Source organism: Homo sapiens, chromosome 1 (genome assembly GCF_000001405.40).
Source record: "Homo sapiens chromosome 1, GRCh38.p14 Primary Assembly".
Classification (NCBI taxonomy): Eukaryota; Metazoa; Chordata; class Mammalia; order Primates; family Hominidae; genus Homo; species Homo sapiens.
The window spans coordinates 64,978,713-65,002,477 of record NC_000001.11 but is presented as its reverse complement, the minus strand read 5'-3'; the positions used below and the strand labels follow the sequence as shown (position 1 = coordinate 65,002,477).

The following is a 23,765-nucleotide window of genomic DNA, read 5'->3' as shown; positions in this document are numbered from 1 at the left end:
GAAACAGGCTCCAAAAGCTTGTTACTTGCTTGTAGTCAAACAGAAGGCAGAGCTGCGAATCAAATCCAGGTTTGTCTCGACATGCCACTAGCTCATACTTCCCTTGGATCAGCCACTAAATGGCTTTCACTCCAGTGAGCAGCGACCAGGTAACACATAGGACGGGTGCGTGGCGGTACCGAGCCCACTGCCCAGGGGCAGCGGGGGCGCTTGCTTCTGGCTGGGGCTCACTCATTTGCCCAAATGGGCTGTAAAATATATACATACACACCCATATATGTGCATATATACACATACGTATATACACACAAACATACGTATATACGTGTGTGTGTTTGTGTATACATACATATTGGACAGCATACCGCAGACTCTGAGCCTCAGTTTTCAATCTTGTATTGGGATCAGGGCACCTATTGTAAGGAGTAGTTGGAAGATGAAATAAGATAGTTTTAACATAGATGCCAGCATCTCGGGGACGCCTGATATATGCCATTTTGCTCTTTTTGCAGCACTCCTGGGGACATCAGGGCACTCACGCTCCTTAACACTGGACAGGAGACCTGCGCAGTCATTCTAGGTCAACACCCTCTCTGACAGACTAGGAATTTAATCCACTCAACGGGAAAATCACTTACCTGCATCACCATCTAGTTACTGACAGACACCAAGCTAGGGTTCCTGCTACCCCTCAAACACACATACCACACACTCACACTCAAACACTTGCTGCCCCTCAAACACACATACCACACGCACACACACTTGCTGCCTTTCAGGCACACATACCCCCCCCCCCACACACACACTTTCTACCTCTCAAACACACATACAACACACACATTTGCTGCCTCTCAAACACACATATCACGCACACAAACACACTTGCTACCTCTTAGACATACAACACACACACTACCACACACACACGCACACATGCACCCCCTCTTTTCCTCCTGGAAGATTCAGACCAGCTCTGGGGCCTGAACGTGACTTCCTCCGAGCGTTGGCAGTGGCGTGGGTGGGGACCTCCGGGAAGGCGAGCAGAGGAAATCAGTCACTGCACTCGCCGCCAGCCAGCGCACAGGGAGAGGGGGACCCAGCCCAGAGGTCCCGCCCCCAGCTCCGCAGGAGGCCTCTGCTGGCGGAGGCTGGGCCCCTTTTGGTAACAAGGGGAATCACTGCAGCCCAGTGAAAGATAAACGCGTGGGTCGGGCTGTGGAATGTCCAAAATTATGAAGATTAAGGAAACAGGCTTTAGGATTCACTTGAAAAGTGAAATCGGCGAATGAAAGTTTTCTAACATGATGAGATCTTGGAAATTGTCCACTCCATTTTTGGGAGGGGTTTAATAATCACTGCCCAACTAGAGCAGCTGTTTTTCCCCTTCCAACGCCCCATTTTGTGAATTGATGCTGAAATAACTGGCCAGGTCTTTCCTTTGGGCACCCTGGAATGTTGGGAATATGAATGGCCTCTTAGTAGAGTTGGAGCTCCAAAGGAAAGGACCCTTTAGAAACAAAAACTTCCATGGCGCCACCGCACTCCAGCCTGGGCCACAGAGTGAGACCCCATCTCAAAAACAAAACAAAACAAAAATCCAACCGCCCCCCCACCAAAAAAAAAACCCTCCTTTTTAAAAATCACAAAAATAATTATTATTCATTGCAGAAAAATCAGATTTTTTCCAGAATCAGAAAATAAATGGAAATCCCACCACCCAGAAAACCACTGTTAACAATCTGATGTATAGCATTATATGTAATCACATCGAACACAATGCTTTGTCACCTTTTTCCTTTGAATCAAATATCATGGAAAAATATTTTCCATACGTGTTTTTAAATCACTACTTCGTATTCCATTGTACATTTATTTAACCAAAGCCCTATTGAATAACTTAAAAATTGTGTCCGGAAGTATTGCTATTTAAACAGGACTGGAGTGTGCAGCTTTGTAGTTATTTTTTTTTTTTTTAAGAGATGGGGTCTCTCTCACCCAAGCTGTAGTGCAGTGGCACAATCATGGCTCACTGCAGCCTTGACCTCCTGGACTCAGGTGATCCTCCCACCTCAGCCTCCCAAGTATCTGGGATTACAGGCAGGACTCATCTTGCCAGGCTGTAACTATACCTGAACACATTCTCAATTATTTGCATGGGTAGATTTTCTGGAAGTGGTATTGCTGGGTTCAGGAATAAGGATTGCCCTACAATGATCTTTTAAGACTTACGATGGCCAAGGCGGGCGGATCATGAGGTCAGAAGATCAAGACCATCCTGCCCAACATGGTAAAACCCGTCTCTACTAAAAATACAAAATTAGCTGGGCATGGTGACACATGCCTGTAATCCCAGCTACTCGGGAGGCTGAGGGAGGAGAATCGCTTGAACCAGGGAGTCAGAGGTTGCAGTGACCCAAGATCGTGCCACTGCACTCCAGCCTGTTGACAGAGTGAGACTCCATCTTAAAAAAAAAAAAAAAACTTATGATTCTCTCCCCCAACCCCCAGTATTTTCCCAGACTTTCTATAATGTTTATTTACCAAAAATTGCTTGAGTGCCCATCACATGCCAGACATGCCAGAATATAGAGATGGATACATTATAGCACAGACCTGAAAAAAATACACTGTAGTTCAAGGTGCCGTAGATACTGTTAGAGAAAGCTTTGGGCAGCCAGGTGCCCACCCAGTTTGGGGAGGATCCTGAAGAACCAGTAGACTTTTTTTTTTTTTTTTTTTAAAGAGAGGGTCTCACTCTGTTGCCCAGGCTGGAGTGCAATGGTGTGATCATGGCTCACTGCAGCCTTGACCTCCCTGGCTTAAGTGATCCTCCTGCTTCAGCCTCCCAAGAAGCTGGGACCACAGGCATGTGCCACCACACCCAGTTAATTTTTTCTATTGTAGAGATGGAGTCTCCCTATGTTGCCCAGGCTGGTCTCGAGCTCCTGGGCTCAAGCCATCCTCCCACTTTGGCCTCCTAAAGTGCTAGGATTACAGCCATGAGCCTTTGCACCCAGCCTGACTTTCTTGAGACCAACAGATTGAGAAGTGAGAGGAAGTTAATGGGGAGTACTGAGGAAGGATGAGAAAGGCAAAGAGAGAGCCAAGGGGAATGTCCTATACAGAAACAAGGTGCCCAGGTATGTGTTCAAATAAATGAACACATGTGAGTTATCTTATGTGCTTGCACTGAGAGTAGAGCTGAGAAGGAGGGCAGTGACATATGGCAAAGAAACAGCCTATTATGTCATGCTGAGAAGGTTTGGACTTTGTTCACATAGCAACAGGAGAAAGTGATTTATAGAGCCTTCAAGGTCATGATGAAATTAGATCTCATCACTTAACCCAGTGAAGGGCACTGTCTTCTGTGGACCCCAAAAATCATTCCTGAGGAGAGAAAACAAAAGATAGGAAGATTTACAAGGGAAATATCCCAAATGAGTATTGAAATGAAAACTGCAGAAAAATGAATCAAATTTACTACCATGTTCATCATACTTAAGTGCTGTAGTTATTGTTAGTTAAGTTTGGTCCTAAACATCTGTATTAGTCCATTTTCACGTGGCTGATAAAGACATACCTGAAACTGGGCAATTTACAAAAGGAAGAAGTTTTAGTTGGTCTCAAAGTTCCACATGGCTGGGGAGGCCTCACAATCATGGTGGAAGGCAAGGAGGAACAAGTCACATCTTACATGGACGGCAGCAGGCAAAGAGAGAGCTTGTGCAGGGAAACTCCCATTTTTAAAACCATCAGATCTCCTGAGACTTATTCACTATCACAAGAATAGCATGGAAAAGACCCGCCCCCATGATTTAATTATCACTGGGTTCCTCCCATGACACATGGGAATTCAAGATGAGATTTGGGTGGGGACACAGCCAAACCATATCAACATCCTCTTCTCTTTTTCCACTTAAAAGAGAATGGCTTTAATACTAATCTTACGGCCAGAGATTACTTCAGTTTCCTGTTGTAATAGGAAAACAAATCCAAGACTTTCAATGAGTCTAAAAACATGTTACATAGATTTTAGTATGTGAAAGCCTTTTGTAAACTATAAAGTAGTACTCAATGAAAGACATTTTTCTGGACGGTAGCTTAAGAAAAACTTGTACAAAGGGTTAAAAACTCAAATGCCTGCTGTGACCATGTAAGTATGGTAATTACTTTCAACAATGCTTGGAAATTCCCAGCTGTTGTCTCTTTTACTATTTCCTCTCCCTCATTTTCTCTATCTCTTTGGAGAATTGTGATTACATGTGTATTAGACATTCTAATATATAATCCAAGTCTTGTAATCTCTCTTTCATATTTTGCATCTCTTCATACTCTTTGGACTGCATTTAGGACAGTTTTTTAGGATCTGACTTCCAGTTCATGAGTTTTTTCTCCAGCTGTATCCAATCTTCTTTTTAACTTGTTTGACTTTTTAATTTCTATCTTTTTGTTCTATTTCTAGAAGTTCTATTTCAGATCTGTTTGGAAAAGTTTGTATAGTCATTTGTTTCTTCACCATATTTACAGGCTTTTATTTCTTGAAACAAAAGTTTTAAAGATAAGATGAGAGGCTGTCTCGTCTTGTGGCTCTGGGCTTCCATCAGCAGGAAACAAGAGGGATCCCTGGGGTAACCTGTGCCTTGGAGAAGAACATTCCTTCTCTATCCTTCACATAAGCATTGTCAAGAATGAAGAGGGAGGCCCAGGACTCTGTATGTTCTGGAGAAGAGACTCCTCCCCACAACAGTCCCCGACAGCCCCACACTCCCACACTCATACCACCATTCTCTGCAACCATTATAAACCCATTATGCCGTTGTCCTTGTTTATGTCAGTCACACAAAAAGTCCAGGACCCCTAGGTTATCTCTCATACCCAAAGCTAATCCCAGCGTGGCTCTAAGGACAGTGAAATATCCTATATTATAATACTCTGTATCTCTCTTCTAGATTTTTTTTAACCACCTACCATCCTACATCTTTTATTAAGTAATTTGTCACCCCTTCTTAAAATGTAAACTTCTTTAAAGCAAGGGTGTTTATTTTGTTAGCCACTTTATCCTTAAGGCTTAGAACAATACCTGGCAAATAGAAGGTATTCAAATAATATTTGTCATGTGAGTTAATATTAAACATTCTTATTTTATATTCTATGTCTTGTCATTCTACATTTGAAGACTGCATGTATGATTTTTACCATCTCCTCCTTCTAGTTTTTACCCATTGTGCCGTTTACTTTTATGTTTTGTGGATTTTGACTCTGGGTTTATATTCCTTGGATTTTATCCGTAGAAATTACTTGAGGCATAGATTGACGTTACCTTCATTCAGAGATTATTTGTGTTTACTTTTACTAGTTGCCTGGGGTTAACTACTTACTCAGGACCAAATTAATCTCTCTCCTTGATTTTTTGTTTGTTTTTGTTTTTAACTATGTAAGTGGGTGACTTGACCTGCAAACCCATGTGTATGACAGTATCAACTGTGGATATAAATTATTGAAAGAGGAAATATACATATTTCCTCTACCAAATGCCAAGGTACAGATGGGCAAGTTTCCTTGCTCCTTTCTGTGCAGCAGGTTTCTTTCCTGTTCATCATTGCACTGGAAGTGCAGCCCCTTTGGGGTTTGCAGCTTTGTTAGATTTTCCTGTCTTAGGCGAGCTTCAGCTTGAGCTGATGTCTAAAAATCCGGTGTTCTTCAGATTTCTCAAGTGTAGCCTGATTTTTATGTGAATTCAGCAATTTTTAAGTGTTGGCAAACAGTTTAAAAAATGTTTTAATGTGCTGGGAAAAAATCACCGCAGGTCATATTTGATCTGTATAAGTTTACAATCTCTCTTCTAAACAGACTAAGCAATTAACCCACCAATCAACCCATGTGTATTGTATTTATATGATGCAGAATGCATTTTGTTAGAATGTATCTGTTAGATACAATAACCACAAATGTGGAAGGAAAAGTCCAATTTTAGATTTGTTTCTTTTTCTCTACAAATGTAATTATCAGATTATGTGTCTACATTTTTAATTCGGGAAATATCACTGTATCTATAATATGGGGAAATATAGGACATAGTTTCTGCTCTCAAAAATTTTACATTCTATGCATTACAGAATGTGCACACTGGATTGAAGTGTCAAGAGATTTAAAGAAGAGCAACTAGAAAGTCATTGGCTCAGTCTGAGTCTGCTTTAAAGGAGCCTTAACTAGGGTGGGCATGATGGCACTAGAAGGAAAAGGGCAGATATCAAGTATTTAAAAGATGATGTGATAGGAGTTGATAATGCATGTGGGGTAAGAATAAGGGAGAAATTATATTTTGTGCTTATGTGGTTGGGAAAATTTTAACCAAGCATTATGTTTTGTGACTGTCTAAAGAGTATCTTCAATGATTATTTTGAAGGAAAGAAAAAAAAAGAGCCCAATGTCAGCCAGGCGCAGTGGCTCAGGCCTATAATCCCAGCACTTTCAATGGCCGAAATGGGTGGGTGGATTGCCTGAGCCAAGGAGTTCAAGGCCAGCCTAGACAATATGGCAAAACCTCATCTCCACAAAAAATATAAAAATTAGCTGGGTGGGGTGGCGCACAGCTGTAGTCCCGGCTACTCAGGAGGCTGAGGTGGGAGGATCACCTGAGAGTAGGGAGGTTGAGGCTGCAGTGAGCCATGATCATGCCACTGCACTCCAGCCTGAGTGACAGAGAGAGACCCCTGTTTCAAAAACAAAACAAAACAAAAGGCCAATATCATTTTTCTTTTGGTTTCTTCATTTCTTATAAACTGAAGGCAATGTGAATGATTTTGTAATCTGTATAAGGCTCAACTGATCACTTTTTATATAACAAAAAGCTCAAGTATTAGGGGAAATAGTTTGTCTGATACAGTCATGTAAATTATCCTCTTTCAGTATTTTCGCATTATTAAAGGATTACCTTCCTCCTTAAGTAAACAAACAAACAAAAAACGTGCACAGGCATGTCAAGATTTTGAAATACCTACAGGCTTATTGTGTTGGAAGGCCTCACTGAAATAGACTGTTAATATTCTCCTAATTCAATGCTATTAGTTCCGTTTAGGGCATTCAGTGGCGTCTGATTGTTTGAAGGGGCTATAGGGAAACTGATGACATTAAGCAAGATAGATTATAGATCGCATTCAACTCTCATCTCTCGATGGGCCTAATGGGCATAGTTCCCATTACTGCTAATGGGAGTTTTGAGCCTAAGCCTTTGTGCTAAAAATCTATCAATCTCCTAATCCTGGCAGTAGGTTGCAAATGGGCTTTAACTTTAAGTGTAATTGGTTAATTGGTTGAGTCAATGATCTGATTGTAAATGATTAGCAGCCAACAGGTTTTATCTTCCTTTATTCTGCCTTTTTATAGCACCAGAATTATGGAACATTTATCAACAGCCTAAAATAAAGACAACACGAGGAGAATTTGGTTGCTTATATAGATTCAAGGTACAATCCTGCTGGATTCTGGGTAGGTTTTTTTTTTTTTTTTTTGCAGTTTAGGAATTACCAAATACTTTCACATGTATGGTGTCACGTCTTACTGTAATTCTTCCTGAAAGTGGGTAGGGCAGCCCTATTATCCTAATTTAGAGACTGATTATGAGAGTTGCCTTGAAGTTTCTTGTCCAGTGTCACAAAGCCCACCCATATGAGAACCAAGGCTAGAACTTCAATCTTTTAATGACAAATCCAGTGCTTTATCCTGGGCTCCAAATCACTTCTCGGCCATTCAATTAAAATGTGTTCTGTTGCGGTTTGAATGTGTGCCCCAAAAAAGCATGTGTTGAAAATGTAATCCTGAATGCGGCAGTGTTGGGAAATGGAGCCTAATCAGAGGTGTTTGGGTCAAGAGAGCTCCGCCCTCAAGAATAGATTAATACTGACTGTAAAAGGGCTGAGACTGTGCTTTTCATCTCTTATGCATGCTGTCTTGCCCTTCCACTTTCTGTCATGGTAAGATGCAGCAGAAGAGCCCTCGACACTGACATCCCAGCCTCCAGAACTGTATGAAATAAATCTCTGTTCTTTGTAAATTATCCAGTCTCAGGTATTTTGTTTACAGCCACATAAAACTAAGATATGTTCCTTCCGGGCTCATTACATGTGTGGCTGCATCAGGCGCTGGGGGCTGCAACAGTGCACAACATTGCCACTACTCTCAAATGACTTAATGTTTATTTGATGAAAGTTTGTGTACAATATGAAATGGCTACAGATCAGGTGCAGTGGCTTATGACTGCAATCCCAGCACTTTGGAAGGCCAAGGAAGGCGGATTACTTGAGCCCAAGAGTTTGAGACCAGCCTGGGCAACATGGCCAAAACCTGTCTCTACAAAAAATACAAAAATTAGCTGGGCATGGTGGTGTGTGTCTCTAGTCTCAGCTACTCAGAAGGCTGAGGTGGGAGGATCACCTGAGCCTAGGAGGTTGAGGCTGTAGTAAACTGTGATTACACCACTGCACTCCAGTCTGGGCACCAGAGAGAGACCTTGTCTCAAAAAAATAAGGTGCCAGGTGCGGTGGCACATGCCTGTAATCCCAGCACTTTGGGAGGCCGAAGTGGGTGGATCACCTGAGGCCAGGAGTTCAAGACCAGCCTGGCCAACATGGCGAAACCCCATCTCTACTGAAAAATACAAAAATTAGCCGGGCGTGATGGTGGGCGCCTGTAATCCCAGCTACTTGGGAGGCTGAGGGAGGAGAATCGCTTGAACCTGGGAGGCAGAGATTGCAGTGAACCAAGATCACACCACTGTACTTTAGCCTGGGCGACAGAGCCAGACTTCTCTCAAAATAAATAAATACATAAATAAATAAAAATAAAAATAAAAATAAAATAAAATGGCTAAAGCATAAGTTGTATTTTCATCAAGGATTACAGGACTGTAGACAAAAGAGAAATCATCATGGACTGTTCACTGGACAAAATTTCATGGAGAGGAGAAGACCTTTGGCGGTTCATGGATGTTCTATAATAAGTTAGGTAACTAACAGGCTAACTTTCTTGAGCACCTACACTGTGTAGGGCACTGTACTGGTACTTCTCATACCTTCTCTCATTCATATAATCCTCTGAGGTAGGTGTTATCCTCTCTACAGCAGGGAAAATCAATACCCAGAGAAGGGGAGAGACGTCCATGGCACACAGGAGAGGACAGAGCCAAGAATGAATATAGGACACCAGTGCCCCAACTCTTAACCACTACCATACACGGTTTTATAAAGTAAATTTTAAAAGTCGACTTTAAAACATGTATGCAACATTGTGTCCAGTCTCCCAAAACAAAAGAACAATGAGCGTTCCCTTTTCCCTTGATGTGTGGGCAGGTCTGTAGAGTAGTACAAGAAGAGATTATGTTCTGCATTCTCACTTCAACAAGAAAGTCCTGGTCCACCAATAATACCTTTAAGCTTCAGGATAATTGTGAAAAGGCCAACTAGTTAATCAAACATTTTCCCAAACTTAAGAAAAACACCAAGAAGGAATATAAGTACAGGGGACATTAGAGGATAAGCTCATAAGGGCTGGACTAAATCTTTTTTTTTTTTTTTTTTTTTGAGACAGAATCTCGGAATCTCGCTCTGTCGCCCAGGCTGGAGTGCAGTGGTGCAATCTTGGCTCACTGCAAGCTCCACCTCCTGGATTCCTGCCATTCTCCTGCCTCAGCCTCCCGAGTAGCTGGGACTACAGGCACCTGCCACCATGGTGGGCCAATTTTTTGTATTTTTGGTAGAGATGGGGTTTCACCATGTTAGCCAGGATGGTCTCGATCTCCTGACCTCATGATTCGCCCGCCTCGGCCTCCCAACGTGCTGGGATTACAGGCGTGAGCCACCGCGCCTGGCCTAAATCTTTTAAGGAGACTCAGTCTTTGTGGCCTGACACTTGGGGAACAGTCAGCTTCAGGAAGTTGGGATGCCACACCTTTGTTTCTTGAACCATTTAGGGAGGTGTTTCTTGAACCATTTTGAAATCAGAAGTGTGAGTCCTCCAGCCCTGACTTTTTTTTCAAGATTGTTTTGGCTATTTCAGGTCCCTTGCAATCCCATATGAATTTTTTATTTTTTATTTTTTGAGACCGACTCTCACTCTGTTGCCCAGGCTGGAGTGCGGTTGCATGATCTCAGCTCACTGCAAGCTCCACCTCCCGGGTTCAAGTGATTCTTGTGCCTCAGCCTCCTGAGTAGCTTGGACTACAGACGTGAGCCACCATGTCCAGCTAATTCTTGTATTTTTAGTAGAGGCGGGCTTTCACGACGTTGGCCAGGCTGATCTCGAACTCCTGACCTCAGGGGATACGCCCGCCTCGGCCTCCCAAAGTGCTGAGATTTTGGTGTGAACCAATGCGCCTGGCCACAATCACATATGAATTTGAGGATATGCTTTTTCCATTGAGCAAAAAAGCTATTGGGATTTTTATAGGGATTGTGTTGAATCTGTACATTGTTTTGGGTATTGTCATCTTAACAATACTAAGTCTTCCAGTTTATGAATGTGGGTAACTTCTAATTTATTTATTTCTTCATTAATCTCTTTCAGCAATGTTTTTACAGTTTTCAGTGTATAATATTTACTTCTTTGGATAAATTTATTCCTAAGTATCTTATACTTTTTGATGCGATTGTAATGCAGATAGAATTGCTTTATTTCCTTTTCAAATATCCACTGCTGATGTATAGACAACTGATTTTTGTGTGTTGATTTTATAACCTGCAACTTTGTTGAATTCATTTATTAGTTCAAGTAGGTTTCTTGTAGATTCTTTGGTCGTAGAGATACAGTTTTACTTCTTTCTTTCCCATTTGGATGCTCTTTCTTTCTGCTTCCTGTCAACTTGCTCTGGCTAGAATTTTCAGTAGGATGTTGAATAGCAGTTTTGAAAGCAGGCATCTGCATTCCTGGTGATCAAACTAATTAAATTAAAATACATGTAATTATTTAGTTTGAGACAATTAGATTTAAATGGCTAGGTTAGGGCCTTAATCCAATATGATTGGTTTCTGTATAAGAAGAAGAAATATCACAGTGTGCATGCACAGAAGTACGACCATGTGAAGAGGTAGCAAGAGAGCAGCAATCTACAAGCCAAGGAAAGAGGCCACAGAGGAAACCAACCCTGCCAGCATCTTGATCTTGGACTTCCAGCTTCCAGAACTGTGAGAAAATATATTTTTGTTGTTCAAGCCACTCAGTCTGTTATATTTTGTTATGGTAGCCCTAGCAAACTAATACAAACCCCTCTAGTGGTTTTTTTCATTTCAGTTATTCTACTACTTTTCTGCTCCAAAACTTCTGTTTGGTTCCTTTTCATAACTTCTATCTTTGTACTGGTGTTCTCATTTTGTTCATACACTATTTTCCTGATTTTCTTTAGTTTTATGTCCACATTTTCCTTTAGCTCTTTGAGCATATTTAAGAGCATTGTTTTAAAGTTTTTGTCTAATAAGTTCAATATCTGGGCTTCCTCACACGTGGTTTTTGTCAGCTTCTTTTCTTTTTTTTTTTCTTCTTTTCTTTTTTTTTTTTTTTTTTTTGAGACGGAGTCTCGCTCTGTCGCCCAGGCTGGAATGCAGTGGTGCAATCTCAGGTCACTGCAACCCTGCCTCCCAGGTTCAAGCAATTCTCCTGCCTCAGCCTCCAAGTAGCTGGGACTACAGGCACATGCTACCACTGCCGGCTAATTTTTTGTATTTTAGTAGAGATGGGGTTTTACCATGTTGCCCAGGCTGATTTCGAACTCCTGATCTCAGGCAATCCGCCTGCCTCTGCCTGCCAAAGTGCTGGGATTACAGGCGTGAGCGACCGTGCCTGGCCCATATTTTCTTTTATTGAAGTATACTTTCCTGTTTCTTTGTGTACCTTCTTGTGATTTTTTTTGTTGTTGTTTTTGAAAACTGGACTTTTGAATAGTATATTGTGGCAACTCTGAAAATAAGATTCTTCTCCTTCTTTGGGGTTTACTGTTTTATTTTATTTATTTTTTTGTGTGTGTGGTTGTTTTTGTTTTCATTGTTGAGACCTGTAATAGTCTTGTTCTAGTAACTTTTCCTATTTTTGCAGAGACTTTTCTTTGTCATGTGTGGTTGCTGAAGTCTCTGTCCCTTAGCTTGTATTCAGTGAGTGGGGTTTTTTTGTTTGTTTGTTTGTTTTTGAGACAGAGTTTTTGCTCTGTTGCCCAGGCTGGAGTGAACTGGCCTGATGTCAGCTCACTGCAATCTCCCAGGTTCAAGCAATTCTCCTGCCTCAGCCTCCTGTGTAGCTAAGATTGCAGGCACATGCCACCACACCCAGCTAAATTTTGTATTTTTAGTAGAGATGGGGTTTCACCATGTTGTCCGGGCTGGCCTCGAACTCCTGACCGCAAGTGATCTGCCTGCCTCAGCCTCCCAAAGTACTGGGATTATAGGCGTGAGCCACCACGCCTGGCCTTCAGTGAGTGCTTTGACAGAATTTTACCTGAATGTCAAGAGCTAAAAAACAAAACAAACAAACAAACAAAAATACTTTTCTCAGTTTTTGCCAATTGGGCGTGTACTGGGGCCCTCCTTCAACACTTAGCCAGGCTTTCACTGAGCTTAGGAATCAGCTGTGATGAAACCTGAAGTTTTTAATCATGTCTTTTCTGAGCAAGCATCTTGCCCTGGGCACATGCATGGCTGGCTAAATTCCCTGCATTCACAGGTGCTTCTGATTGTCCTAACTTCCCAAAGAAACTCTGTTCTCAAATTTTTTGCCCAAGCCTTAGGTGGTTTATTGCATGTCTCAACTGTGACCTTTTGCCTCAGGCCTTGTTCTTCTACCTTATGATGATTCAAGCAATGCCTGCTGCTTTTCCAATCTGGGTTAGTTCAGAGTTAGGCAAACAGAGGTGAGCATTTTGTGCCAGTCCTTCACGTACAGACAGGTTAAAACCGATCTACACAATAATTTGCAAATAAGGTCTGCTTTGCTCCCTCTAGAACCAGGGACCCCACTCCCATGCCGACAGTATGGGCTGCTGTCTTCAGGACCATTGCAAGGTAAGGTGTGGAATAACAGCAAATAAAAATGCCACAAAACTTTCCTACCATTTTTGAGTTTATTTTATTTATTTATTTATTTATTTATTTATTTATTTATTTATTTATTTGAGATGGAGTCTCTCTTTGTCGCCCAGGCTGGAGTGCAGTGGCATGATCTTGGCTCACTGCAGCCTCTGCCTCCCAGGTTCAAACAATTCTCCTGCCTCAGCCTCCGGAGTAGCTGGGATTACAGGCACGTGCCACCACACCCAGCAAATTTTTGTATTTTTAGTAGAGATGGGGTTTGACCATGTTGGCCAGGCTGGTCTTGAACTCCTGACCTCATGATCCACCCACCTTGGCCTCCCAAAGTGCTGGGATTACAGGCGTGAGCCACCATGCCCAGCCTTATCTCTGTATTTTATATATATATATATATATATATATATACACACACACACACACACACATATACATATATATATACATACATACATATATATACACATACATATATATATACACATACATACATATATATATATTTTTAAATTTTATTTATTTTAGTTAGGGGCTCACTCTTTCACCCAGGCTTCAGTGCAGTGTCAAGATCATAGTTCACTGCAGCCTTGACTTCCCAGGCTCAAATGATCCTCCCACTTCAGCCTCCCCAGTAGTTGGGACTACAGGCATGCACCACCAGGCCTGGCTGATTTTTATTTTTTTATTTTTTATAGAGGCAGGGTCTCACTGTGTTTCCCAGGCTAGTCTGAAACTCCTGGGCTCAAGAGATCCTCTTGTCTTGACCTCCCAAAATGCTGGGATTACAGGCATGAGCCACCACTGCAACTGGCCCATTTTTTATTTTTCTTAATTCAGCATCCACTTGGTGGCTGTAAGCCTCTGACTTTTTTCCAGAGTCTGAAGAAGTTAATTCTGACAGATTCTGCTTGTTTTTTGAGTTTCTATGGGGGGGACAGGAGCTTGGGGCTGCCTACTCTGCCATTTTGCTGACCTAAGTAGAGTTTGAAATCTTAAAATAATTAAATGGTTAAATGAATGAACTTTGGAGACAGATGGTCTGAATTTTAATCCTGCCTGTGCCACCAAAAAGTTTGTAATAAGTGAATTATTTAATCTCTAAACTTCAATTTCTCATCTGTAAAGTAGGAATATGGGAAGGGCTAATTAGGATCATTTATTGTAAAATCAGTAGTGTGCAGTAAATATTTGACAAGCAGCTCTCAGAAGGGATGGGACTGAAAACCCTGATTTTTAGTGTTTGCCAGTTTCCATGGTGTAAATATTCCTGATATGGCCGAATTTAAGATGCCAGTGTAAAATCTTCTAATGCGGCTTGAGAAAACACACACATAATTGACTCTCATGAGCCAGGGAAGGCCAACTCTAGCATATCACTTTCTTAAAAAGTATGAGGTACACAATAAGTGATCAATCAATAAATATTATCATCTTCAATTGCTTTGAACAAAATGAATAAAATAAGAATGGTTTCTGAAAAGTCAAGATACAGCATCTCCCTCTATATTGCCCTATGTTATAAAATACTTTATACTCTAGGTACTTGGAAATGTTATCTCCAGACAGTCCATCTTCTGTGAGAACAACATTTCACATCCCCTTTCTATCTTTAGGTCTTGCATCATTGTTTACAGTGAACACAATCACAGAGAGAATAGTCATTGTCCACAAGTCTGCCTGAAACTGACCACACTTCAAAGGACTTGCTTCTAATTGACTAATCTATTAACTTTTCAGGCTGCAGGAAGACTTAGAGGCATCATCCTGCCTTGGCTTCTGGTTGCCAAGGTGTTCTGCCTGATACCAACTTTGTCAGCAGTCACCAACTAGCCATGCTTTTCCCTTGAAGGCACATGTAGATTGCCTAACCATCCACACCAGGCAAACAATTCTTCAAATGTCATGCCCTTTGCACTTCTGTTCAGATCCAGCCTTAGAGAAGCTTGTGAAGCAATGACTGTTTTAATTGGTCTCCTGGGTACCCAGGCCTAATCCTTTACCAAGTCACTAGTTATCCCATGTTCCTTATCTGTCTGTCTATCCATCTATCCTTCCATCCTCATCCAATACTTACAGAATGCCTATGGCTGCAAATACAAGGATGACTGCTTGGTTCCTGCTGTCCATAAACTCACAGCCTGGGATAAGGTAGGGTAGAGTGAATAGATATGCAAGCAAAATAGAATGGATTGTGATAAGGGAAAGTAGAAAAGTACATGCAAAGTACTCTGGGAAACTAAAGGAGGAATTCTGCCTACCTTGAGGAACTAAGGAAGTTTTCAGGGAGTGCGTGCAGGTAACCGTAGGGTAAGATTGGCTGGGAGCCAAATTGTGCTAGACCTTGTGCACCTGACTGTGGCAATGGCTGCTTCAGCAACAGGGAGCCTTTCTTTCCTTTTGTTATTTCCCTGCATCTTACAACGTTAAGGCCTTGGTCCCTGCTAATAATAAAATAATAATCAACTTTATAAAGAGCTTACAATATGCCAGATACTGTACTAAGTGCTTTATATTTTTTTTTTGGGTGGGGGGTGGCTGTTGGGCAGTGTCTCACTCTGTCACCCAGGCTGGAGGGCAGTGGCACAATCATGGCTCACTGCAGCCTTGACCTCCTGGGCTCAAGCCTCCCACCTCAGCCTCCCAAGTAGCTGGGACTACAGGCATGCAACACCATTTTTTTGTAGAGACGGTCTCTCTCTGTTTCCCAGGCTGGTCTTGAATAACACCTGGGCTCAAGTGATCTTCTTGCCTCAGCCCTCCAAAGTGCTGGGATTACAGACATGAGCCACTGCACCCAGCTTATTATTTAACTTAATCTTCACAACAACTTTAGAAGATAGAAAATAGGAGATGCTGTAATGGTGAGAGTTTTAGAGCATTCCTGAGGACCTGGAGAAAACTTGCTGCCGAGAAGGAAATTTTGAAGGTTTCATTGGTTGAAAAAGGTGTCTCTGGAATCACACTCCTAGATCTTTCTTAAAGACTTGAAAAGAATTAGATTAGGGGCCAGGTACAGTGGCTCACACCTGTAATCCCAGCACTTTGGGAGGCCGAGGTGGGTGAGTCACCTGAAGTCAGGAGTTCGAGACCAGCCTGGCTAACATCTTGAAACCCTATCTCTACTAAAAATACAAAAAATTAACAGGGTGTGGTTGTGCACACCTATAATGCCAGCTATTTGGGAGGCTGAGGCAGGAGAATCGCCTGAACCCGGGAGGCAGAGGTTGCAGTGAGCTGAGATCGCCCCACTGCACTCCAGGCTGAGCAACAAGAGTGAAACTCTGTCCAAAAAAAAAAAAAACAATTAGATTGAGGCCATGGGGGACATAGAAGGTCACCCCATCTCTGATCTTCGCCATCACAATTGCTACAATCGGCTCTTTCCAATTTGGCTACAACACTGGGGTCATCAATGCTCCTGAGATGATCATAAGGGAATTTATCAACACTTTGAAGGACAAGGCAAATACCCCTCCCTCTGAGATGTTGTGCTTGTCCCTTTGGTGCTTGTCTATGGCCATATTCTCCATTGGTTGTATGATTAGCTCCTTTTCTGTTGGACTGTTTGTCAACAGCTTTGACAGGCGTAATTCAATGCTTACTGTCAACCTGTTGGCTGCCACTGGTGGCTGCCTTATGGGACTGTGTAAAGTAGCTGAGTTGGTTGAAATACTGATCCTGGCCTACTTGGTTATTGGCCTCTTCTGCAGACTCTGCACAGGTTTTGTGCCCACGTACATCGGAGACATCTCACCTATTGGCCTGCAAGGTGTCTTTGGCACTCTCAACCAGCTGGGCATTGTTGTTGGAATTCTGGTGGCCCAGATCTTTGATCTGGAATTCATCCTGGGGTCTGAAGACCTATGGCCTGTGCTATTAGGCTTTCCCATCTCTCCTGCTATGCTACAAAGTGCAGCCCTTCCTTTTTGCCCTGAAAGTCCCAGATTCTTGCTCATTAACAGAAAAGAAGAGGAGAATGCTAAGGAGATCCTCCAGTGGTTGTGGGGCACCCAGGATGTATCCCAAGACATCCAGGAGATGAAAGATGAGAGTGCAAGGATGGCACAAGAAAAGCAAGTCACTGTGCTGGAGCTCTTTAGAGTATCCAGCTACCGACAGCCCATCATCATTTCCATCATGCTCCAGCTCTCTCAGCAGCTCTCTGTAATCAATACTGTGTTCTATTACTCAACAGGAATCTTTAAGGGTGCAGGTGTTCAAGAGCCCATCTGTGTCACCATTGGTGTGGGTGTGGTTAATACTATCTTCACTATAGTTTCCCTATTTCTAGTGGAAAGGGCAGTAAGAAGGACTCTACATATGATAGGCCTTGGAGGGATGGCTTTTTGTTCCATCCTCATGTCTGTTTGTTTGTTATTGAAGGATGAGTGTAATGGGATAAGCTTTGTCTGTATTGGGGCTATCTTGGTCTTTGTGGTCTTCTTTGAAATTGGGCCAGACCACATTCCCTGGTTTATTGTGGCTGAACTCTTCAGCCAGGGCCCTGGCCCAGCTGTGATGGCAGTGGCCGGCTGCTCCACCTGGACCTCCAACTTCCTAGTCAGATTGCTTTTCCCTTCTGCTGCTTACTATTTAGGAGCCTACGTTTTTATTATCTTCACCGACTTCCTCATTACCTTCTTGATCTTTACCTTCTTCAAAGTCCCTGAGATGTGTTACAGGACTTTCAAGGATATCACATAGGCCTTTGAGGGGCAGGCACACGATGCAAATAGATCTGGAAGGACTGTGTCATGGAGATGAACAGTATCCAGCCTGCTAAGGAGACCACCACCAATGTCTAAATCATGCCTCCTTCAACCTCCCTCCCAGCAAGGGAAAGCCACCTCCCTGAATGAGGGAGAGACCTCATAAGGATGAACCCAGGGCTGCTTCTGAATGCTGCTACTTGATTCCTTTCTCCCTCAACAAGACTGGAGCTTGTTGAATTTTCAATGGCTTTTAAAATATTTCATTTCTTGGACATTCTCTTCTGCGTAGGAGAGACCAAGTGAACCTACCCTTCATTTCAGGAGGGATTGACCACTTGGGATACGACAACTTTGCCAGCTCTTCTCCCTTGGGTTCTAATATTGCCCTCTAGGGGATATAGGGGAGGAAAAGTAAGGTGCAGTTCCCCCAACCGCAGACTTACCAGGAAGCAGATACACACACACTGTGGGAAGGCAGACAGGGTTTATGTAAGAGCACCTTCCTCACTTCCATACAGCTGTACACAGCAAATTAACTTGAGTTTTATTTATTTTTACCTCCTGGTTTAATTACATAAATATTATGTTTTAAGTGTAATTTTGCCAAATAATGAAAACATAAGGAAACTGAGGTTAAAAGGAGGTGTTTAAAAGAGGTTATAGAGTAGAAGATTTGATGCTGGAGCGGTTAAGGTGCAATAAGGAGAATTTAGGGAGAAATGTAGTTAATTATTGGAGGGTAAATGATGTGGTGCCTGAGATCTGCACATTACCTCTTAACAATTTCTGTCCTTCAGGTGGAAACTCTTAAGTTTAATTTCTCAGAAAAGTCATATGCCTATATAATAAAGCTACTGATTTCTTTTGGAACTTTTTTCTTTAAAATTATAGTTTATATGTAGTATTACTTGAAGTCCAGGATTATTAACCAAGATGGGCATTGTAGTTAATGGCAGTTGATGGGTTCTAATTTTGGATGGAGTCCAGGGCAGGGAAAGTTATTTCTAGAAAGCCTGTTCCTTCTCACTGGACCAAACAACTCCTTCCCCTTGTAGTAGACTCATTACTTTTTAAGTAACCCCACCACCCATCTGGTGGTAGAGCCATCCAAATGAGAAACCTAAAATAATTGGTTCTTGGTAGAGGTTCGTCATTTCTCCATTTTGTTCTTTAGGAGATTTTAGGTGTTGATTTTTGTTTTACTTTGACCCATATCTTTAAAGGAATTCCAGAAAGAATGTTTATAGCTGACTTGGAATTTGTAGCCTCAGCTCTGGGAGAAGATTTTTTTCTGAACGATTATTATCTAACGTGTGTTGTTGCTTCAGGGTCACGGCATGCTTGTCTATGTCTGTTACCATGACCACCGTGGTCCTGTGCCGAGTGCCCTTAGGGGGATTGAATCTTTCCAATAGGCCATGTTTGAGATAGTATGAGTCAGTGTGCAGTGTAGCCCATACTTGAGAGTATGAATGTATGTGCACTGTCACTTTGCTCTGGGTGGAAGTAGGTTATTGTTGACTTATTTGCTCTGTGTTTATTCCCACAGCCCCCTTTTTCCTATGTTGCTGGATCTCCCTTTCCCTTCTTGGTGCTTACACATCTCAGACCCTTTAGCTGAATGCTTGCTAAAGTAAAATGCTTGAACAGTATTTTGGTTCTCAGTTCTCACTGTTCCCTCTGGTTGTTGAGGCGTCGAATAAAAATGCACATAGCAGTGGGGTTTAGCTGGAAAAGGTGACCTTCTTCCAACTTCACCTCTACTTCTGGCTCCTCAAACAGCGGGTGGACAGTAAGGCAGGGAAGTTGTTTTCTCATTTCTCACTGACCAGACTGTGAATATTTTCATATGGATTTTCTCTTATTAATGTTACTCTGGTGCTTCTTTGTTTTAAGATAAAAATTCTGAATGTACACATGAAAAAAAAAGACAGAAAATATTATCACTCCCATTTTACAGATTAAAAAACTGAGATTTAAAGTAGTAATGTACTACTCACAGCCACACAACTAGGATGAAGCAGAGCTAAAACTCAGCTCTCATTCACTGCCAAGCCTGTGGTCTTAGAGACATAAGCCAGCAGGACTTGGTGTCATTAAGGGACTGGGGAGAGTGGTTCCATTCCCCCAAATCCTCCCCCAGAGAACTTCCTCGTATTTTATAATGGTCATACCTTCAACCCTTTTACCTCCTACCTGGGCTGATTGCAATAATCTGAAAGGGCCCTGTTTGAGGGGCAATGGTAGTTACTGTGGAGAAGGGCTTCAAAGAATATGGATGGTGGTGCCAATTTACCTCCCGGACTGTGGCTGCTGCTGTGTGATGTTGGGGTAATGGTTAATCTGCTCTTGTGTGAGTCAGCTAATGCCCCTCCCAAATCACATAATGCGTTAACTCAGTTAAAAGACACCTGCCCAACTCATCTGAATGTCAGACCTGAGTGTCAGCTCCCATTTTACACTCTGTAAAAGGAAGGAGGATTTTAACTTAACACTCGAAATCTTCAAAGAATACAGTTGATCTTTTTCAGCCAACAGAAAGACTGCTTCCCTGGTTGTATGTGTGTGTGTGTGCGTGTGTGTGCGTGTGTGTGTGCGTGTGTGTGTGTGTGTGTTATTTAACTTAGTGTTGACATCAACTCTGTAGAATTGTATATGTACAGATAAGTAACTGGAAGCTCGGAAAGGTGAAGCCACTTGTTCAAGTTCATGGAGTCAACTTTCTTTTTACATCTCCAGGACACTAACTGTTGGGATAGTTTGTTTAGTTTGCATCCTAGTGGATAAGTGCTCTTCTTAGTGATGATGAAAATTTGAATATCTCTAAAGGGGCATTATTATCCTGGAGTGTGAGACAGTGAAAAGAACAGGAGCTTTGAAGCTAGGTGTGCCCTGTTAAAACTTCAGTTCCTGCTGTGTAATAGTGTAAACACTGGCAAATCACCTAATCTCACCTCAAAAGGTGATTTTGAGAATGAAAGCAGATGGCTGGGAGGTAAGGGTACTTAAATACATGTTAGTCCTTTCCAGGTCCTCATTGCTGGAATTTGAGTGGACATCTCCAGCCATCTCAAGCAAATTGATTAAATACTCAGTGCATTCTTAGAGATATTTTAATTTATTTTAATTGAAACAAACACCTGCCATGTGGCATTTTTAGGAAAATTTAGGGAAGGTCTTGTGAAACTAGGCAAATCATAAAGCTCCCACAGGTTGAGGCTCAACAGACCAATCAGTGAGGCCCATTTTACCCTGGAGGCACTGGGCCAGGTGCCACGAGCGTTCCAGGGGTGAAGGGAAAAGCCTGCCGTACTGGAACTGCAAAACATCTGGTCAAGGAGATATAGCACCAACAGAAGGAAAGACAAACAGCAATAGAAGGCATTAAAAGACACGTTTCCAAGGAATGATGTAGGCAATAAATACTGTGTGAATTCAGGACAGAGAGAGAGATCACTTAGAAAGGTCCAAAAAACCCTTCCTGACTCATTTCCTGTACTTTCTCTTTCTGTCCCTTCATAGCCCTGTGGGTTTCTCTTAGAGTTACCAGGGCACTTATCTCTGTGTAACAAGGTGGAGACAATATCGCCATTGTTTTACAGCTGGTGCCATATTTCTTCCTGAAAATAGAAGCATCTAGGCTTGGAAAAAATCAGTTGAGAAATTAGGTGTAATAGAATAAATAGGTTGGAAAATGCTTGAGGTAGAAAATTGATGCCCAACAATGATAGACTGGATTAAGAAAATGTGGCACATATACACCATGGAATACTATGCAGCCATAAAAAATGATGAGTTCATGTCCTTTGTAGGGACATGGATGAAGCTGGAAACCATCATTCTCAGCAAACTATCGCAAGGACAAAAAACCAAACACCGCATGTTCTCACTCCATAGGTGGGAACTGAACAATGAGAACTCTCGGACACAGGAAGGGGAACATCACACACCAGGGCCTGTCGTGGGGTAGGGGGAGGAGGGTGGGATAGCATTAGGAGGTATACCTAATGTAAATGACGAGTTAATGGGTGCAGCACACCAACATGGCACATGTATACATATGTGACAAACCGGCACGTTGTGCACATGTACCCTAAAACTTAAAGTATATATATATATAAAAAAAGAGTTTAAAAAAAAAAAAGAAAATTGAGACCAAGGATCCAGCTGTTAGAGGAGGGTCAACTTGCTGTGCATACTGCAGGGAGGTTTTGGAAATTTTGGGGGGCAATCTGCAATGGAGAACGCGAGGGCAAAAGGAGGGAGGGCAGAGGGAAAATGGAGAAAGCAGCCACCAGGGCAGCAGAGCTGTGATTCCTACCTACCTACATCTTCAGGGATGGCTGCCAAACCCAGGGAGCTTTGTGTGAGTGCCTTCATTGTAACATGGTGCAAAACAGAGTAGAATGAGGAGGTGGAAGTGTCCCTCCAGAAGTTACCTCACTCTTGAAAGGGCTTTACACTTCCACAGTCCAGGCACCGTGTTGAGAGTTCAAACCAAGTTTACCCAGATCTTTCAGCAACAAACAGGTCTCATCTGACTTCTGAGTTTTATCTCCAAGTCTTTTCTCTTTCCTTCTTGACCTTTCCCTCCCCTCCAAAGCTTACTTAGTACAGTGTCTGACGTATAGTAGATGCTCTACAAATATCTGTCATGCTGAATCAATATAAATATTGTATTATACATGGTTTCTGCTGTCGTGGTACCTAAAATTGAGGGAAGACAATACACGTGCATTTCAGACACAAAAATAAACCTAATCTTAACAATTCTGGGAAGGATATAAATGCCAATTAAATAGGCCTGACACTTTCCTGCCTCTTTTTCAGTGTCCTTCACGGTTCGGTTCACATTTCACAAGCCCCATGAAGTCTATCTGGATTTTCGGTAATGTTTCCTGTCTCTGAAATCTTATGACATTTATGTCTGTATCAGCCATTTGATGCTTGATTATCTATTTTTCAGATGGATGTCTTGCCTTTTCCTCTACACACTACAGGAAGAGTGGCCACCCCTGCCAAGGGCCTAGTATAGTACCCTATACATGTAGCTGATCAGTTGATTGTTACTGATCATATGTATCCTGCATCATGTTATAAAAAATTAACACAGTGCTTGGCACATACTTGTACTGAGTAAGTATTTGCTGAATTGACTTAAAGTGTTGGATGCCATAGACCTCTGAGAATATATAATTTCTATGTATCACTCTCCTAGCAGAATAAGAGAATATTAGAACTTGGGAAGAAGTCACATCTAATTCTTTTCTATTTTTATTTCATTTTATTTCTTTTTTTTAGAAGTGAGGTCTCACTCTGTCACCCATTCTGGGGTGCAATGGCATGAGCATAGCTCACTACAGCCTCGAACTCCTGGGGTCAAGCAATCCTCCCACCTCAGCTTCCAAGTAGTTGCAGCTATAGCTGCACACCATTGTACATGGCTAATTTTTATTTATTCATTTTTTTTTATAGAGAGGAGGTCTCACTATGTTGCCCAGGCTGGTCTTAAACTCCTCAAGTGATCCTCCTGCCTTGGCCTCCCAAAGTGCTGGGATTACCGGCAGGAGCCACTGTGCCTGGCCAGTTCTTGTTCAGCTACAATTTATTTTCCTATTGCTTTTTGGAATGTAATTTAAACTTTACACTTCAGTTATCCCACTTGTCAAATGCATACATGATTTCGTGGCCAATAACCTGTACGTGGACACAGTAAAGTTAAAACAATAAAGATGCACGGAATTTTGATGCTGATAGGTATCATAAAATAATGTGATCCAAACTAAGGAGATATCTGAGCTCAGAGACAGTAAAAAGACCACCCTAAGTTTTTTTTTTTTTTTAATCTATCAAAGAGCTCATCCAGCATGCAAGTGTCCTGCTTTCTGATCCAGCAGCCTTTCTAGCACCCCGGCCTTGATTGTCAGAATAGCATCTGCTTATAAGGTTTTTAAATTATTAATACAGTATACTAAATCCCAGGAGT

General features: G+C 42.1%; 1 protein-coding gene, 1 long non-coding RNA gene and 1 pseudogene across 5 annotated transcripts in view; all 3 read left to right on the top strand.

The window, feature by feature from the left end:
- Positions 1-23,765, top strand: part of JAK1 (Janus kinase 1) — a 234,518-nt gene that overhangs the window by 65,269 nt on the left and 145,484 nt on the right. The window lies entirely within an intron of this gene.
- LINC01359 (long intergenic non-protein coding RNA 1359) lies at positions 2-22,901 on the top strand. The gene is made up of 7 exons (NR_119383.1): positions 2-149; positions 7,390-7,491; positions 11,037-11,180; positions 12,984-13,043; positions 14,805-15,215; positions 22,610-22,667; positions 22,746-22,901. It is a non-coding gene; the product is annotated as a long intergenic non-protein coding RNA 1359 (long non-coding RNA).
- SLC2A3P2 (solute carrier family 2 member 3 pseudogene 2) lies at positions 16,370-19,696 on the top strand (annotated as a pseudogene).